General features: G+C 43.1%; 1 protein-coding gene across 1 annotated transcript; it reads left to right on the top strand.

The window, feature by feature from the left end:
• The first annotated feature begins 11283 nt into the window (after window positions 1-11283).
• CBLN4 (cerebellin 4 precursor) lies at window positions 11284-19446 on the top strand. The gene is made up of 3 exons (NM_080617.6): window positions 11284-12922; window positions 15956-16072; window positions 18049-19446. Exons 1-3 carry the CDS (start codon window positions 12632-12634, stop codon window positions 18244-18246), a joined length of 606 nt encoding a protein of 201 aa, NP_542184.1. The 5' UTR covers window positions 11284-12631; the 3' UTR covers window positions 18247-19446.
• Window positions 19447-20034: the final 588 nt, after the last annotated feature.

The raw sequence follows: 20034 nt of genomic DNA, 5'->3' as shown, positions 1-20034 counted from the left end.
GGAATTATGCATCTGTTGAGTCTTGGTGAGAGGAAGAATGACCTTCCATTTTATCAGCTGAAAATGCCAGGAACACACTTTTCAAACCCTGTCTTGCAGCTGTCACTTAGATATAGGTCTCACTGATGGGATGCACCATCCTAAGACTTCAACTTGTGAGGTTGTGACATGAAGCAAGGCCTGTGGTTAGGAGAAAGCAAGCATCATAAATTGAAGCAGGAAAACCAGATGATTTGGGTGCTTCCCTGAGACAGAGGCACTATCTGAGGCTGGAGATTTGACATAATTCCAAATATTTTGATTGGCTGGGTGGGTTTGACCAGGAGGGTATGGGCAGTTGTGGTAGTTTGCTATTAACTTACGGTGTTTCCCATTCAGACCATCCTAGTACCCAGCAATTTTCTATTAAAGCTTTAAGGTATCTGATAGGGTTTGGCTGTGTCCCCACCTAAATCACATCTTGAATTGTAGTGCTCATAATCCCTACATATTGTGGGAGGTCATTGAATTGTGGGGGTGGGTCTTTCCCATGCTGTTCTCATGATAGTGAATAAGTCTAATGAGATCTCATGGTTTTATAAAGGGCAGTTCCCCTGCAAACACTCTCTTGCCTGCCACCATGTAAGACGTGCCTTTGCTCCTCTTTTGCCTTCCACCATGATTGTGAAGCCTTCCCAGCCGTGTGGAACTGTGAGTCCATTAAACCTCTTTTTCTTTATAAATTACCCAGTCTTGGCTATTTCTTCATAGCAGTATGAAAATGGATTAATACAGTATCTGAGTTATTGTAAAATGTAGAGCTCAGGCTGGGAGCAGTGGCTTATGCCTGTAATTGCAGCACTTTGGGAGGCCAAGGCAATTGGATCACTTGAGGTCAGGAGTTTGAGACCGGCCTGGCCAACATGGTGAAACCCCGTCTCTACTAAAAATACAAAAATCAGCTGGGCATGGTGGTGCACGCCTGTAGTCCCAGCTACTCGGGAGGCTGAGGCGGAGGACAACTTGAACTTGGGAGACAGAGGTTGTAGTGAGCTGAGATCATGCCACTGCTCTCCAACCTGGGTGACAGAGTGAGATTCTGTCTCAAAAAAAGAAAAAAAATAGAGAGCTTAAATGAGACCTAGAAAAGTTACTACAAAGAAATCTCTCTGTTACAGGTCTCCTGAAATGCTCTTTAAAAGTAAAATCAAGTCCTAAAGTGGTGGTAAACTGGCAGTCCTAGAGCTATATGTAGCCCCAAATCATGTTTAAGGTAGCCCACAAAAATTTTTGAATTAGTTGCTGACATCTAAAAGTTGGCAAACAATCTGAATTTATTTTCCTATTGAAAAGCCAAGTATCTGGCATTACCGGATTCACACTGTTCAGGGTGTAACAGCAGCCGCCTGCTGGAGGTGAGGCAGAGATGCTTGCTCCATCTTTTCACAGTTGTCTTCTACTAGTGTCTCCTGTTTGGCCTCATTATCCATCTGGACTCTTACTTGCAAGCAGCAAAAGTCGACTGACAAATTTCAGTAGAAAGGGAATTTATTTAAGTGTATTCTGTGGTTCAAGAGTATCTTAGAGCATTGGAGAACTGGGTTGCAGTGAAGCAGACAGGAATGACACCCCAGCTCCTGCTGCAGCACCAGGTTCACCAAGACGGATGGTTTGGCTGCGTAGCACAGACCTCACAGCCTGCTGCACCCGTATCACTCACCCTGGATGCTTGATGCTGGTGCCTGTCCCAGACCACGAAACCTGCTGCCACCTTCCCTAGCAAGGTTTCTGTGAGGTTCCTGCCACCTCTCAGGCCTCTAATTCAACCTCTGGGGTGGTTGTGTCCAATTTGCAGAGCTTGGGTCATGTGCTTGTCCTCTTATGGCAAGAGAAGCTGGAAAATGAGTATCTGGTACTTGATGCTTCTTTAGTGAGAGATGGGCTCTGTCTAATGAGCAGGAAGAATCTGCAGACGTAGGAAGGAGTTTCTGACATTGGGTGACCAAAAGGATAGCAGATGCCCACCATAGTCCCCAATGGCATTTGAGTTTGCTATGCTCACCCAGTACATACTAAGTCCTAATTAAATATCAGTTGGAGTGTAAAACTGGGAACTGTAGGGAGAAAAATAGGAAGGAGGTAGAAAAGAAGACATAAAGCAGAGGAATCACGGAAAGGTGAAAAGAAAAAGAATAAAATAAAGTAAAATAAAAGCAATAAAGGGGAGCAATGCAGAATTTCTCTGGTCTTAAAAACCATTAGCTCTAAAACATAGTCCATCTCTTTCCTCAATTATTTTGTTTTTCTTCTCTATTTGGCCTTATGAAGACTACAAACCCATACAAAGCCCTATAAAATTCATTTTGTGTGTGTGTAGTAAGGGAATATTGGATCCAGCCCAGAAGGGCTTCAGCTCAGTCAATTGCCAAACACCAGCTGCATAAGTGATGATTTGGTCCATCCAAGAGGTAGTTATTTAGCCAACAGACAGATGGCCAAGAAAGTCAAGTTACTTGGTGCATTGTGTGTCATTCAGGAGGCTCTTGGCCAGCTAAAATAGCTGGAAGCTAGTGGATTCCGAAGCCATGGCCCACCCTATTAGGCTTGCTTCTGGAATCCCCCCGTTCCCCAATTAGCAGCAAAGGACAAAGCAGGGCAGCTTTTGCTTTATGGAGCCTACAACCTAGCAAAGAGGAGCTACTCTGCTAACCCCAGTGGTAGATAAGAAAGTGGCTGAGCTGGTAGCTTGGCCAAAGCTAAGATACTCATAACCCAGTGTGAGGAATGCGAAAACAAGGAACAGCTGTGATAATGGGCATCCAGGGAAAGGAAGGGCTACTTACAGCAGTTTTTCCAGAAGTGCATTAAATTTCCAAGTAAAGAAGGATGGGTTATTATGCATCATAAATAATTACTGAGAATTAGAGAAAACATAAGCAAATTTTTGAGACCGTCTAGTTAAAATTGGAAATACACTCGAAAAGGGTACCCAAAGTTAGAATCTATGCGGTGTCACCGTATTCATTACTTCAACAAACACTTAATATACCTGCACCATGTGTCAGGGACTAGCCTGGGCAACCTCTGCCCTCATGGAGCTTATTATTGGCTGGGAAGATTCTTTCAGTCAAATAAGACAAATAAATGTAACATCTCAACTCTGGTAACCACTAGGAATGAAAGGCACATAAAACCATGAGAAGAGCGTAGGAGAATTTAACCACTTATCATCAAATTATAATCTCATTACATTTAATATATCAAATCTAATTATAATCTAATTATATTTAGTATATTAAATATTTTAATATGTATACATGTGAGTGTAATAAAAACATATATTCCCCCACCTTGGCTTATGGTCAATAGCCTTTATTAAAAATTTTGTGATATGAAGCCTGTCTTCTTCCTCTGAACTTTGTCACTTGCACATTATTGACATTAATTCTTCTTGGAATGCACTCAGCTTCTCCTCTGAATTTGGTGTCACCAACTACAAAATAATGAGTTCTGAGCATTCTAGGAGCTCCTTGCATTTTTGTTTCAACTTTTCTCATATTGTCTAGGGAAAGACCTTTGGATATAAGACAGATGTCCAGCCATGAAGTCTAACCCGTTTGTTGGCAGCAGCTTTTCAGATGCTGTATTTCCTTATCTGTAAAATGGTGGCAACAAGATCTACCTCTCACATGAGTGGTGGGAATTCAGTGGGAGAAATTATCAGCAATTGAGGTTACCCCAAACAAAACAAGACAAAACAAAACAAACAAATGTAGTTGCATTGCATTCCAGGGTTAGATTCTAAAATTAGTACGCAAGGAAAAAATTTCCTAGAGTCAAACTTACCTTGAAAATCCTTTTGAAGTTCTCACCATGGTGTCTGGTACACCAGCTCTCAGAGAGCTCACCGCAGCCAGTTTTCCTTTCAGTGTCAAAACAGATTGCTGTTTCTTCAGCTGAACATCAGATTAAGTGGTTGGCTTGTTTTAGTGGTCATGTTGTAGGAAAATACTTTCCTTTAAACACTAGAATCACACACAACGGCACAAGCTGCTCATATCTGAGAGGCAGCAGGAATGGAGCAGCAACAGCAGATCCGCACTTCCCATCTCACGCTTACAAAGGACAGATGTTCACTGAGTGCCCTGGCGAGGAGAGTTGCCTATTGGACTGAAGCTATTTTTCTCTCTTCCCACAAACCACACGCGCTAAAGTCAGGAAAGTTAAAAGTGTCTAGGACTCTCCATAGTTGGCATACTAGCTCCTAAGATGCCCGTGTTGGCTCCTGGATATTTAACAACTGCCGTGTTATTTTCTGGTGTCTACCTGGCTTTCTGAACTCCTGTTTCTGTGGTGACTGTTTCTGACCAGCTGTTCTTGACTTTCTGTATAATTTCCACTTTGAAGAATCCATCTATTTCCACTCAATGCTTCTTTCAGATGAGACATAATGATTGAGAGTATGGGAAGAAAGAAATAAAAATAAAATTAAACCTGTTGTTCATCCCCTGTAGGGAGCTCACAAACATGCCTGGTGTCTTCGCTTCATTCAAGAGCTTTAGCTCTGCATAATGATAAGCATTGATCTATCAGCAATGGCTGGCCCTGCAAACTCGGGTGTGATTATTTTCTGGGCATCTGAACCTGGATTGTCTCTCACACTTGGGTACACTTCGTTTTCCCCTATTATAATGTCTGTGAGGTTAAGTTGGGCCATTGCTTGCCAATAGTTAATGGGCCTTGGTTTAGAGTGTGGTGGTTTGACACCTTTAGTCATTAGTAGAGTCTACAGATTAATGATAATAATTGCTACCCTTAATTGAGCCTTTCCTGTGTGCCAGGTGCAGAGCTAAATGCTCTGCCCAAATTTCCCCACTCAGTTCTCACAAGAAGCTATGGACTGAATATGATTTTCATGATTGCAATTTTCTTGGATGAAGGAAGGTTTGTAACTTGCTGTATGGTCATAAAGCTAGTAGGAGGTAGAGCTGACTCTAAACACCCTGTTTTTAACCATAGAGCTAAAAAACCCGAATGCAAATGGACTCTTGTGGCATCACGCCAATGGCATCTACAAAGTCAAACACCATCTGCTTCAGATTTACCTGGGTGCTGGTTAAGTAAACCTTCCCAGTTCATGGGCAGAGCCATTATCTCAGAGTAAGGCCAGAGAGTCTCTGTTGGAAAGAAGCATCCCAGCTGATTCTTACAAGTAGCCATTGGTTTGGACCCCACATTTAGACTCTTCTTATCTACACAACATAAACACGAGTGGCCAGGCACATGTCATACACCCAGCACTGAGCTATGGCTTTCCTAGATGCTAACATACTATATAAAGAAAGCCAAGTTGAATAAAATGTAGCGAGAAATTTTGACAGCATGCATCAGTGTTACTAGTTGCAATGGAATTTTTTTTCTTAAATGTATACTGTGAGGCTTTCTATATCAGAGCATCTTTCTAAACTTGGAGTAAGTGATTTTTAGAGTCGGATCAGTATAACAAAAAAGGGAGATTGCTGTTCAATCAATGCCACTTTTTAAACTTTAATTAAGAGTAAACTATGGAGAAGAAGTGTGAATGTGATAGATCACTATTGGATGATCTACTCAGAAACCCTTTCTTTTTTAAAAAATATTTTAAATGTGGGCTGGGCGCGGTGGCTCACGCCTGTAATCCCAACACTTTGGGAGGCCGAGGCAGGAGGATTATGAGGTCAAGAGATCGAGACCATCCTGGCTAACATGGTGAAACCCCGTCTCTACTAAAAATACAAAAAAATTAGCCGGGCGTGGTGGTGGGCACCTGTAGTCCCAGCTACTTGGGAGACTGAGGCAGGAGAATGGCGTGAACCCGGGAGGCGGAGCTTGCAGTGAGCCAAGATCATGCCACTGCACTCCAGCCTGGGCAACAGAGCGAGACTGCACCTCAAAAAACAAAAAATTTTCAAACGTGAATCACAATGTAATACACAATTGCTGTGAGCACATATATAATAAGGAAACATCTGAAATACAATTAATAGTGTTTCCTTCTATTCAATTCCTTTAAATTTGACAAGTTGTTGCCAACTTGTATTCTCTGTGTATTGAAATACACACATATCTGTACACACTTGCAGGGAATTAACTTGGAATCACACAACACAAATTAGTCTGCCTCTTGTTCTTCTTCCCTTTGCCACATATTGCTTATATTAGCTTTCTAGGATTTTTCCTTTTCCCATGCCCCGCCCCAATTTTCTACACACCTCATTGCTGGGATATCAGTCACGTGTGCAGCATGATTCTGTTTCTACAGCCAAGTTGATTGGTTTGGGATTGGGCATCTGAACGCAGATGGCTGCAGTGCATCTCTTCTCGGGGATCTGGGGGCATCTCTGAGTGGATGGCTTTGTTATGTGTGAAATCTGGAAGTATCAGCTGCCATTTTCCCTCATGCGGGCCTCAGAGAACGGTAGATTGCAGTGAGCCAAAGAATAATGAAGATGTGCCCAGGAGAGGGGAAGAGAGGGAGGGACACAGAGAGAGCAGAGAGAGAGAGAGAGAGAGAGAGAGAGAGAGAGAGAGAGAGAGACAGTGGGGAGAGAGAAAGAGAGAGATGGGGGAGAGAGAGAGAAAGAGAGAGACGGGGAGAGAGAGAGAGACTGGAGAGAGAGAGGGAGAGGGAGGGAGGGAGAGAGAGAGAGAGAGAATTTTTTAGGTTCTTTCTAAGATTTTACTACAGTCTCAAGGTTCAACTCAACACATTTCAAGATGTGGCCCTTTCCACAAAACCTTTTCTCACTGGGCTTCCATTCTTAGTAACTAAGGTGGACTTGACGTTTTAAGCCCCCAACATTTCTGAAATAATTTTACTTTTCCTATCATACTTAGATCATAGTGATTAAATGTTATATTGTTTCCCTTATGAGAACTAAAAGCAATGATGTTACTTTATTCAGTAAACTTTATTTATGCATACCTACTCTCTGCTAAATTCTGTCCTCCCAAAGAGTTAATGGTCCAGGGAAAACACAACAATAAATCAACTAAAACCATTATGATAAATATAATGACTGGAACATGCTCAGGGTATCATGGGAAGCCAAAAAGGGGCATCAAAACCTGTCTGCAGCCATGACCAAGACGTCTCACTTCTCACTGATGTCTTAGACACGTACCTTATTTGCCAATGGGGTGAGTGGAATAAACTATCTAGAAAAACTGTCCCAAACAATTTTCAAATTCTAAAACCAATTGAGAAGTATTTTTTACAGCATCCATCTATTTTTTTCCCACAATACCATCCTCATATGAAACAAGTCTGTCATTTGGCTGTCTCCAGAAGGAGCTATGAAGATTTACTCAACATGACTCTGGAACTTTCCAGACTATGTAAGTTCTCACATATTGGTTGTTCATGGAGACTTTTTCTTCTTCTTCTTTTTTTCTAATATACTTTAAGTTTTAGGGTACATGTGCACAACGCGCAGGTTTGTTACATATGTATACATGTGCCATGTTGGTGTGCTGCACCCATTAACTCGTCATTTAACAGGTATATCTCCTAATGCTATCCCTCCAACCTCCCCCCACCCCACAACAGTCCCTGGTGTGTGATGTTCCCCTTCCTGTGTCCATGTGTTCTCATTGTTCAATTCCCAGCTATGAGTGAGAACATGCGGTGTTTGGTTTTCTGTCCTTGAGAGAGTTTGCTGAGAATGATGGTTTCCAGCTTCATCCATGTCCCTACAAAGGACATGAACTCATCCTTTTTTATGGCTGCATAGTATTCCATGGTGTATATGTGCCACATTTTCTTAATCCAGTCTATCATTGATGGACATTTGGGTTGGTTCCAAGTCTTTGCTATTGTGAATAGTGCTGCAATAAACATACATGTGCATGTGTCTTTATAGCAGCATGATTTATAATCCTTTGGGTATATACCCAGTAATGGGATGGCTGGGTCAAATGGTATTTCTAGTTCTAGATCCCTGAGGAATTGCCACACTGACTTCCACAATAGTTGAACTAGTTTACAGTCCCACCAAGACTTTTTCTTCTTAAGCTACTTACTCTCCCTCAAAAAAGATCATTAGCTTGGGCTGATAACTATCATTATAAAGAGCAAAGGGTAATTAAGCAACTCAGTGGAACTTTGTCTGGGTATGATGCAAGCCTCACTGCTCTCTCTCTCTCGATTTTCCATCTTCTGCACGACTGACCTGCGGCTGTCTCTGCTGCATGATGCATGGAGTCTGCTTTCATTCAACCACAGTGAGGCCCTTAGAGCTGAATACCTTGTGTGTGTCTGTCTTTGCCTTCTCAGAAACATTTTCTTCACAGTCAGAAAATAGCTCATAGATCCTTACTGTCTTGGGCTTGCTTGAAACTTGGTTTCTCTAAAGGATGGCTGGACAAGCAGTCATTGAATTTACTGACCTCAGAAGTATTGCTTTCCTATGCAAGGATAGTTTAGATTCTAATTTACTTTAAAGTTAAGCCCAGCTGCAGAGAACTGAAATGCATTTCTGCGTCATCTCTAAAGGTCTAGGAGAAAAAAAAAATCCTAGGCATCAAATACAATATGGGAATCTCAGAAAGGGAAAATATTTGGGTCACTGCTAGGTCTTCTAATAGCATATTTTCAACTGGAAAAATACAAGAAAAAGAAAAAGAAAAACAGATCTATGCTGTGGTTGGAGAGAAACTTAAACTTGATCTTGTTTCTTTTCTCCTGGGGATGCTGGGGCTGAAGTAGGGGGTGAGGAACAGGTGATGCCTCCTTTCCCAAAATGTTGGAAAAGCATTTCCTACAGGCAGGAGATTGGATTTGTTAGTCTTTTGGCAAGAGATCCATAGCCTTTTGTGGTATGGTTTCTGGGACAATGTTCTAATGAGGATTCTGGATGACAGGGAGCGGTATGTTACTAAAACTAGCTCAAGGGAATTGGGTTTTTATTTCAAAGACATAGGAGGATACCAAGAAACCCAAGGTTAGGAGAAAATGTTTCTGGAACTCTTGTAAGCAAGAGTTCAGAACTGGCGATTGACTATTCACTCCCTGTACTTCTTAGAAGTGCTCATGCTCCAGAATTGGCTTCTTTCTACAAGTGTGGCCAGTCCTCTGGTTTATTCCAATACCTCTTCTGCTTCAGCTTGCAGATGACTCCTACATGGCCACGTCAGTTTGGGAGACTACAAACCTTGTCTCTGCCACATGTAGTGCTTACTGGAAGCTATTTTGATGTCTCATTAAGATTGCAGAGAGAAAATCTGGCAGCCCCAAGTCATCTGGCCAAGTTGGACCATACAAATCTTGGACTTCTGGTATCAAATGCATTGATGGTCCTAGAACCCAGGGGCTATCCGTGTTTAATCAACTGTTGTGGGAAAAAGAGTCAGGACCCTCTGATTCACAATATAAGATAACTTCTCTTAGCGGGGGTCCACAGAAAATGCTGTGTTCCTTATCTTCAGAACACTTTGAAGAGCAGAACATCCTTTAGTAAGGAACCGAGACCCTTATCCCCAATTATTAAGGAGGCTTTGAATTTAAATTTTACTGAGAGAGACTCATTTAAAGCAGTTTATACTATAATATGAGTGATAATTACCTTCTATTAGGAAGCATTCAGTCATTTCTCAATTATTGAGTCTTTACTATGGTCACTATGCAGATTTTGGGACTAAAAATGAATATTTTTGGTGAGAGAAAGAATAGGTTTCTTCAAATCTCAGTTCTTGCGTGCAGGAAGTGCCTGGAGAAGAAAAGGAGGTAGAGAGAATATATTGGAATTGGTGAGGAAGATAGCTTATTTTCTATTTAACAATTCAACACAGTTTTTTTTTTTTTTTTTTTTTTTTTTTTGTCAAACTTCTCCCAGCCTGAAATTGAACAACCAAAGTTCTAGTTATTGAACAGCTGTCCCAGACAAGGAAGGCAGGGTGCTTACCCCTACAGGAAATAAAAGGAACTAAATTCAACTCAGCACCCACCCTCAAAAGACTGCATCAAATGAGAAGAAATTGCTGCTGTTAACCAGGCAGACATCCCTAAAATCTGGAAGAGAGTTACAAAGTGCAGAGAGGGATCAGGTGAAGATTGTGCTGGGCTTAGGGTGGGGCATCAAAGCTGGGTAAATGGTGGCCATCTTCAGAAGGCACTAGTTCACCTTGTTTGGTTGTAGCTTAGATAGGTAACTTTCAACATTTTAACAAATAGCATGGTACTAGCACCTGCCAGCCGGAACTGACACCGGCCTGTAGTCTCAGCTACTGGGGAGGCTGAGGTAGTAGAATCGCTTGAGCCCAGTAGTTTTGCATCTAGCCTGGGCAATATAGCGAGACCACCCCCCACCACAAGTAAAATAAAATCATAAAGTCAAAACACCTGATACTGGCCCCACTGGAGCAGAATCTGAAGGCCCCTGTGGCACCAAGTATTAACACTTTAGTTGAGAGATTATAGGGAGGTGAGGGTTAGGGGATTCCTCGTAGTGTCTTCAATTTTAACAGTTGGAGCTGGTGCTTATAGCTCAATGCCCGGCCCTTCTGAAGGAAGGGAAAAAGGCTGGAGACGAGGTTCACCTTGTTTTGTGGAGGGCTCGAATGCCACGCTCATGAGGGCGTCCTTCACTCAGGAAGGAATGGGAGCCGTCCATCCCAAGGACCTCCCTCAATAAACATCCCTTCCATTCATAACTAGCCAATGCCATTTTAGGAGCTCCGAATGCCTGGAGGGGATACTGTTTTGGTTAAAGATACCATACGTGTCTGCCCTCTGGCAGCTGGAAGTGTAGAAGAAATTGGGGAAGGGGCGCCATGACCCCACAGCATCACAGAATTGGAAAGCTGGCGGGATGGGGGTGGGGAGGACCTTAGTTAACGCCGCGCCCCCCTCTCAGAGAGGGTTAGTGACTCGGCCAAGTTCACGCAGCCGGGTCCAGACAGAGACAAACCTCCCTTCCCCGTGGTAGCTGCAGAAGAGGAAGGGAACTCTTGCAAATCAGAGGCCAAGATAGCAGTGGAGTGGCACGGGGGCGGAAAGCGCATCCAAAGGGGAGAAAAATGCTGTATTCCTAGGAGTGGGATTGTCTTTTATTTTTATTTTTATTTTTATTTTTTTATTGTTGTTGGCACGGTTTCGGAGGACTTATTCTTGCTGAGTTAACTCCCTCTCCCACTCTTTTTTTTGGCCATGCCTGGGGAGGATTCGCGGTGTGGGGGGAAGGCGCGCCCCTGCGGCTTCTGAGGCTCATCTTCCCGGAGCGGAAGGAAGGAATCAGGCACCTCCTCCCAGCCGCCCCCACGGGCTCTGGTCCGCCCCAAGGCTTCCCTGAGCTCGCCAGGCCCCAGGGCTGTGTGGGGCGGGCTCCCGGCCAGGCGCGGTCGGGACGCCCGCCGGTCCCCAGGTTCGGGGCAGCGCGCAGCGCGGGTCCGCGGCGGCTTATCCTTTTTCGCGACCCGGCCTGGCAGCGCCGCGCTCCGCTTGGAGGGCACTCGGCGGCAGAGTTCCGCGCTGGGAGGGGTGAGGGGACCAGCCGCCTCCTCTGCGGACTCAGATCGAGCAGGAGAGAGTGGGCGCGGAGCTGGGGCCAGCGCAGGGCCGTGGGCTCCTCTCTGGGCACGCATCCTTTACGCCACGGGCTTTCAGGGGCTGAGGGGCCTCGAACCTTGCCAATCACCAGTGCTGTGCGCCCCGCTTGCTTTGGGGTGCGTTAAACGTCAGGAGAGAGCTGCTCAGATGGGGTCACCAGACGCCTTCTCCCCCTTTTCTCGGAGCCCGCGGGTTGCGCGATAAGCCAACCCAGCCGGACGCTGCGCTCCTATAAATAGAGCGCGTGTGCCCGCTTCGCGCTCTCCGGGCTGCACGAGGGACGAGAAAGTTGTGCGCAGGGACTGGGGGCGGGCGGCCAGGCAGGAGAGGACCCCGCCGGACCAGCCGCCCTGAACGCTGCGCCCGGCGCCCTGGACCTGATCCTGCGAATCCGCGCTTTCGGTGCGAGGGACCTGGCTAGCCGCTGCCTCCCTCCCTACCTCTGGGTGACACCAGGTTTGGGGGATTTTTTTGACCAGGCGAAAGTGGGAGTCGCTGGCGTCCTGGCCATGAACACAGCCTCGCGTTCTTCTCAGCCTGGGAAGGACCTTCTGCCTCTGTAACTCGTCCCTGCCGCAAGCCAGACAGGACTGGCACCCGCGCCGCTGGGCACCCGCCACCCTTGTGGCTTCTCTTTGAGTCCCCTCTTTTTGTTCCTGCTCCGTGGTTTAGCTGGTGGTGCTTGAGTTTGGGGTGAGAATTTATTATTATTATTATTTTTTGCCTTGAGGTGTGAATGTGAGGGTTTGATGACTTTCAGATGTCTAGGAACCAGAGTGGGTGCAGGGGCCCCAGGCAGGGCTGATTCTTGGGCGGAGGAGAGTAGGGTAAAGGGTGCTGCATGAGCTCCTTAAAGGACAAAGGTAACAGAGCCAGCGAGAGAGCTCGAGGGGAGACTTTGACTTCAAGCCACAGAATTGGTGGAAGTGTGCGCGCCGCCGCCGCCGTCGCTCCTGCAGCGCTGTCGACCTAGCCGCTAGCATCTTCCCGAGCACCGGGATCCCGGGGTAGGAGGCGACGCGGGCGAGCACCAGCGCCAGCCGGCTGCGGCTGCCCACACGGCTCACCATGGGCTCCGGGCGCCGGGCGCTGTCCGCGGTGCCGGCCGTGCTGCTGGTCCTCACGCTGCCGGGGCTGCCCGTCTGGGCACAGAACGACACGGAGCCCATCGTGCTGGAGGGCAAGTGTCTGGTGGTGTGCGACTCGAACCCGGCCACGGACTCCAAGGGCTCCTCTTCCTCCCCGCTGGGGATATCGGTCCGGGCGGCCAACTCCAAGGTCGCCTTCTCGGCGGTGCGGAGCACCAACCACGAGCCATCCGAGATGAGCAACAAGACGCGCATCATTTACTTCGATCAGGTCAGACCCGGGGGGAAGCGAGCACCTAGGGGGTGGGCGGTCTCCAGGCACCTCAGCACGAGGCTGCCTGCCCAGGCTAAGCTGGTCCGATTGGGAAATGGGGAATCATGTAAAGCACTCGCCTTCCCAAATATGCCTGGGTCTGAAACTTCTACCGTCCCTCTTCCTACCCCTCTCACCAGCCCCGGCTCCCATTTCTTCCGGGCCCCTAAAAGAGGCTGCTGCGGCGGCGGGGGAGAGGCTTGGGAGCCCAGAGCCCGGCAGCGAGAGCTCAGGGCAAGTTTCGAGCAACAGGTCGGCGGGAGCCGAAGGGCACCTGGTCCCTGGACGTCGTTATCTCTTGGCCAGATCTTGGTGCCCTTGCTCAGACTCCTCTGCGGGTGCCGCTGAGGCTGCTCCCTGGGTACCTTTGCGGAACAGGATAAATGTTTGATTTGTTTCTCCCAGGTAGAGAAGCTTCTCTCCCAAGAGAGCCCCGGGCTTCCACACTCTTCAGAGATCGGGCAGGTGGCCGCGGAGGGCGGGGGCAGAGCCGGGGGTCAGATCTCGCCTGCAGGTTCCACTGTTCGTGTGCCAGGCACCGCTGGCACTGCCGCTGCCTCGGAGTAGGCAGCAAGCCCTTCTCCGGTACTTAGAGAAAAGTTGCGGAGGAGGGGAGGAAAAGGAATTTGGCAACTGCGCTGAGCTCCTGTAGGAAAGCGCTTGGGAGCCAGTTCTCCCTTCCCGGGCTCATGTCCTTTCAGAGAATTGCAAATAGCTGGGGAAAGACAGACTTTGAGGTTGATGAGAGTAGGGGAAGAGCTGACGGAAGCTGTAGCTGCTGTTTAGCGACCTGGTGCTCCGTGTTTGGCTTGATGAGAAACCCCAGGATATCAGCTTACCTTTAGCAAGGGGTCTTAAGGGAGAAAACTGTCCTCAGAGTTTTTAATTTCAGCCCCAACAGTATCCAGAGTCTTTTTAAATTCCAAATTCACAGTTCACAGTTGTATGCAAAGCTGCAATGTGCAGGGGGCACAGGTTAAGTGGTGTTGCAGGATGTGCCAGGGAAAGCACGAGGTGACATCTGTATTCCTTGCTTAATTTTTCCTAACTAATGCACTCTCCAGCTGGCCAAAGACAGAGAATGCCTCTCTAGGGGCTTAGTATTTGATAGACATAATTTTTAAAGAATTAAGTAGCTCCATTTGGGGTTTTGGTGCAGTATTTTCCATCTTGATGGAAATAAAGTCTAGCACCACCCCTAGTTTGTATTTCAATGCTTTAATTAAATGTTGGAATACTGTGGGCATTGCACTATCCTCTATACAGGGTGTTCCTTTCAATGACCTTTCCATCAATTAGAAGAGGAAAAGGGTTTGTTCTTCTTTTCAGTGAGCCTTGCATCTTAGAGACAAGAACACACATTTGGTTATAAATCTCGATGTACCTGGATGCTCCAATTACAGTGTAGAGTCAACATCCAGTTTTATATGTAGCCAACACTAATCAGCTATTTTCATTATTGCTAATGAATTATGCTACTTGTATCTGAATCAGGAAGTCACCACTAAGCACCTCAAATTATTTTAATTGTGCTTGAAAAATTTCTTTGTAAAGCCTCTGCTGGGGATTATTGCACAGCTGGTGACTTGTTGAAAGACCATCTATCATCAGGTTACAAAAAAAATCTGATGCTTACTTGGAAGAAGGCGAAATCTCAGAATGAAATTATACACGTACATGTGTTTTAAGTTAGGTGTTGAGCCTGATACATCTGCTTGACTGTCACTACATTCTGGTATGTTGCCCAGAGGTAATAGTACATTTTTAGGGAATTATGCAAGAGGCTTGCAAGTGTGTTAATATTGGCAAGAATGCAGTGTTCGAAAGAGATAGTAGCAGATTGCCATTGATATATGAGAAGTATATCTTTTTAGGGACCTCTTATTATTTTTGAATGCCACTTACAGGTGTATTTCTTGGAAAGAAATGGAACAAACCCTGGTTATTTTAACATCCATCCTCCATCCCAATCCCTCTTTCTCATAGAAAGAGACTTACCCATGTGACATTGCAAATTTAGCTTAAGAGGTCACTTATTAAAATTTAGAGTTAATTTTATAACCAATAGAACTAGGCTGAATATTTTGGAATACAAAATGCATTGTTGCTTTCTTGGGAAACAGTATCTAATTTCACTTTTGAACCTTGAACTTCAAATAAAGAGCAGGTGATTGATAGGAGGTTAATGGACAGCCCGGGGAGGAACAGGGAAAGCCACCTATTTCATAGTTTAGCCTTCTCTATGCTCTCCTCTTTGGCAGCCCACAAGGGCTGACTCATTGCCACATTATTATAATTAAGGCCTAGCTGGCACAGGAATGAAAAAAAAAATGGTAACAGATCTTAGGAGAGGGGTGGTGGTGGCTCAGAGAAGGGCCAGGCATTCAGATCACTTTGTGCACCAACTGTTCAGTGTCAAGGATTATGTCACATGGTGGAGGGGGTACCCATGCCTCTGTGGTTTGTCCAGGGATGCTGCGGAGAGCTCACAGATGCTGATTGGCTGGCTTGGAAACGTCACCTCTGGACATTGCAAAGGCTTGTAGAAGGTGGGAATGTAAACACATAGCGGGTGCCTTTTATCCAACTCTCAAGGTAAAGCTAATATTTATAAGTTCTCAAATGTTAGCTCGATGTTTCCAGAGCCATTGGGCCTTGCTGGAAATTGAGACATGAATACAAAGCAGTTACTTTATTTATTCTTATATCATTTAAAAGACAGAAGAACCTTCCAGTATTCCAGTCAATTTTCCAAATCAGTTAAGAGGAAAGATACAGAACTAGATGTTTTATTTTCTATGATTTCTTAAGCTAGTTGCCAAGAATGAATGAATGAACAAAAGAAAAAAGAAAAGAAAGAAAGAGGAAGGAAGGAATGAAGGAAGGAGGGAAAGAAGGAAGAGGAGAGGAAGAGAGTGAGAGGAAGAAAATTCATTTTAGTTACAGAAGAAAATATAATAACTTATTGTTATTTATTATTTTTATTTGTAGATCCTGGTGAATGTGGGTAATTTTTTCACATTGGAGTCTGTCTTTGTAGCACCAAGAAAAGGAATTTACAGTTTCAGTTTTCACGTGATTAAAGTCTACCAGAGCCAAACTATCCAGGTGTGTGTTTTGACCTCTTCCATCCATACTCTCAACCAACTGTGCTTATCTTTAGTGGGTTATATATTTAAGTACTTATCCAAAGTTGTGTTTCCACAATAGAAATAAGCAGCCATCTTTATCATTTATTTTAAAACACTTAATTTCTAATTTTTTTCTCTTTAACATCCATTAAGACGTGACAAAAAGCGTATAGAAAAATAGAGAATTGAAGTTATTACCTTAATAACAATCAAACATTTTTTAAAAATCCATGGTTGAGTAAAAATTCAGTGACACAAATCTCTTTGTAAGATCATGCTTTCATTTAATGCATGTACAAGAATTACTTGAACTCATAAGAAAAAAACTTGTAAGACTAGTACAGCTTTACAAGTGCATACTAAATAAATAAAACACATTTGCTATTTTTTAAAATTATGAGATACAGCTAATCAGTAAGAATAAGTCTATGAAGGAGGAACTATTCAAAATACATTTTTAAAAAACGGTGTTCTATGCGTATGCTTGTGTTTATCCTCAGTTACTCTGATGCTAGTGAATTCTTACCAACTGCAGTTCCACAGTTAATATATTTTGTGTTCTGCTTTCTAAGACAATGGGCTTGACCTTACATTCAAAAGCAACAGTGGAGCTTGTTCCAACAATATTCCAGTATGCTAATACTAAATGACACAAATACATGTGCATGGAATTCTAAGATAACCTTTTATCTTATGCTCAGTATTTATGTTATACATTATGTCAATATGAATGATAGATTACATGCTTATCTATTAATACTTTTACATGTCCTAGTAAATGGATAAATGGATCAGCCTCAGATTTAATTTATTCCATATGACTTTTAACCTAAAAAAATCTAGAAAACAAACTTACTTCCATGGAAAAGTTTTCCCAACCCCCAATATTTAGAAATGTATGCAATGCTTGACACAGTGTAATCAAAATTGAAGAATAGAAAATAGTTAATACAGTTTTGAGTTGATTCTAATTATCTGTCACTGAAATCTCTAAAATTTAAAATCTAAATCTAAAATCACTAAAATCACTAAAATCAGTGATAGTGGTGATTATTATTTTTTATTTTTTGGTTTTTCTCTGAGATAGGGTCTCACTCTTTCACCCAGGCTGGAATGCAGTGGCATAACCATAGCTCACTTCAGCCTCAAACCCCTGAGTTCAAGCAATCCTCCTGCCTCAGCCTTTTGAGAAGCTACGACTATAGGTGCATGTGACCAATCAGGCTAATTTTTAAATTTGTTGTTTTGTTTGTTTTAGAGATGAGGTCCTGCTATGTTGCCCAGGCTGGTCTTGAACTCCTAGCTTCAAGTGATCCTCCTGCCTTGGTCTCCCAAAGTGTTGTAATTACAGGCATGAGCCACTATGCCTGGCCTGATGATTGTTTTTGATGCTTGTTTCCTATCAGGGAAAATAGAAAAAGAAATAAACACACACAGACACATATATACACAAACTTCATTATTTCAATTGATTTTCAGTAGTATGCATGTTACAGCTGCACAAAAATTCGCAAGGATGTTGGTAGGATTGGGTTGTATCTGGGTCTCTTATGTCAGTGGGCAGAGGGTCTCTTTTACGAATGTACCGGGAAGCCACAAGCCTGCTCTATTTCCAAAAGATTATTGTTGGGTGGAAGAGTTAAGTAAAGCAGTAAGCTTAATTTATGTGCTGAAGGGAAGCTAGTTTTCACATGGCTAGGTTGGTCTCCATAGATGTTATTCTTTTGTAGGAATTTAAGGAAATTCCAATCAGAAAAAAAAAATTAAAAAAATCAGTTCAGCAGACATGTGAAGTATGGCCCCCACAATTGGCTAATTTGAAAGGAAGGGAATATATTTCCTGAACATCAGGTATTTTACTGGGTCTATCATCTTAGACATTATTTATTCTCCCCAGTAGATGTTTTGACTTTAAAGAGAACTTTTCAATTATTATTATTTTTCTTCTTCTAGGTTAACTTGATGTTAAATGGAAAACCAGTAATATCTGCCTTTGCGGGGGACAAAGATGTTACTCGTGAAGCTGCCACGAATGGTGTCCTGCTCTACCTAGATAAAGAGGATAAGGTTTACCTAAAACTGGAGAAAGGTAATTTGGTTGGAGGCTGGCAGTATTCCACGTTTTCTGGCTTTCTGGTGTTCCCCCTATAGGATTCAATTTCTCCATGATGTTCATCCAGGTGAGGGATGACCCACTCCTGAGTTATTGGAAGATCATTTTTTCATCATTGGATTGATGTCTTTTATTGGTTTCTCATGGGTGGATATGGATTCTAAGGATTCTAGCCTGTCTGAACCAATACAAAATTTCACAGATTATTTGTGTGTGTCTGTTTCAGTATATTTGGATTGGGACTCTAAGCAGATAATACCTATGCTTAAATGTAACAGTCAAAAGCTGTCTGCAAGACTTATTCTGAATTTCATTTCCTGGGATTACTGAATTAGTTACAGATGTGGAATTTTATTTGTTTAGTTTTAAAAGACTGGCAACCAGGTCTAAGGATTAGAAAACTCTAAAGTTCTGACTTCAATCAACGGTTAGTGTGATACTGCCAAAGAACTGTATACTGTGTTAATATATTGATTATATTTGTTTTTATTCCTTTGGAATTAGTTTGTTTGGTTCTTGTAAAAAACTTGGATTTTTTTTTTCAGTAACTGGTATTATGTTTTCTCTTAAAATAAGGTAATGAATGGCTTGCCCACAAATTTACCTTGACTACGATATCATCGACATGACTTCTCTCAAAAAAAAAGAATGCTTCATAGTTGTATTTTAATTGTATATGTGAAAGAGTCATATTTTCCAAGTTATATTTTCTAAGAAGAAGAATAGATCATAAATCTGACAAGGAAAAAGTTGCTTACCCAAAATCTAAGTGCTCAATCCCTGAGCCTCAGCAAAACAGCTCCCCTCCGAGGGAAATCTTATACTTTATTGCTCAACTTTAATTAAAATGATTGATAATAACCACTTTATTAAAAACCTAAGGTTTTTTTTTTTTCCGTAGACATGACCACTTTATTAACTGGTGGTGGGATGCTGTTGTTTCTAATTATACCTATTTTTCAAGGCTTCTGTTGTATTTGAAGTATCATCTGGTTTTGCCTTAACTCTTTAAATTGTATATATTTATCTGTTTAGCTAATATTAAATTCAAATATCCCATATCTAAATTTAGTGCAATATCTTGTCTTTTGTATAGGTCATATGAATTCATAAAATTATTTATGTCTGTTATAGAATAAAGATTAATATATGTTAGTTGAATTGTTTTTTTCTTTCCGTTTTGGAAATATGTATTCTACATTATTTATTTCCTCTTACTTTGTCTCTTCTTAACCCTTTCTTCCTTCTTTGCTCCTTTTTTCTTTCTTTCTTCCTTCTTCCCTTCCTTTCATCCTTTCATCCTCTCATTTCTTTTTTCCTGAAGTCTAAGAAAAGCTTTCTGAATTTTCAGGTAGTGTCCTCTGAGCTGATATAGGAAATCTTTACTGTGTTTAATTTGTCCAAATGTAGGAATTGCGAGCTTGCCAAAAGAGAATCAATGAACTTAGTAAACTCTTCTTTCAGAAGGGCTGATTGTTAAAAAGTTAAGTTTAGAAGATCCCCTAAAATATCAGGAGGATGCTCAATGTATGAATGAGTGGTGATGAGTTTAAAGACCAATATTCTCATACTGAAGACTTTGAGGAAAAGTTCTGCCCTTTTTTCAACACTAAAAGACAAACAGAGGATCGCAGGCCTCTTCTTAGGAGGAATTATTATTACACCTGCCTTATTTGGAGATTTGGCTCAATTTCCTGGTCTTTAGTCCATTAAAACAATTTTTGGGGGGTGGGGCAGGGGGCTTTTGTATTTAGTGGCAACAGGCAAGGTATTATAGGGAGACACATGCATGCATGTCTTCCAGGATAATTGTGTTAATTGCCAAG

This window comes from Homo sapiens, chromosome 20 (genome assembly GCF_000001405.40).
Source record: "Homo sapiens chromosome 20, GRCh38.p14 Primary Assembly".
NCBI lineage: Eukaryota > Metazoa > Chordata > Mammalia > Primates > Hominidae > Homo > Homo sapiens.
The sequence above is the reverse complement of the archived record's forward strand: the minus strand, read 5'-3'. Positions and strand labels throughout refer to the sequence as shown.

Coding starts and splice junctions, on each gene's coding strand:
- CBLN4 (NM_080617.6), top strand. CDS start 12,632: ATGGGCTCCGGGCGCCGGGCGCTGTCCGCGGTGCCGGCCGTGCTGCTG. Junction 12,923..15,955: donor GCATCATTTACTTCGATCAG/GTCAGACCCGGG, acceptor TTTTATTTGTAG/ATCCTGGTGAATGTGGGTAA. Junction 16,073..18,048: donor ACCAGAGCCAAACTATCCAG/GTGTGTGTTTTG, acceptor TTCTTCTTCTAG/GTTAACTTGATGTTAAATGG.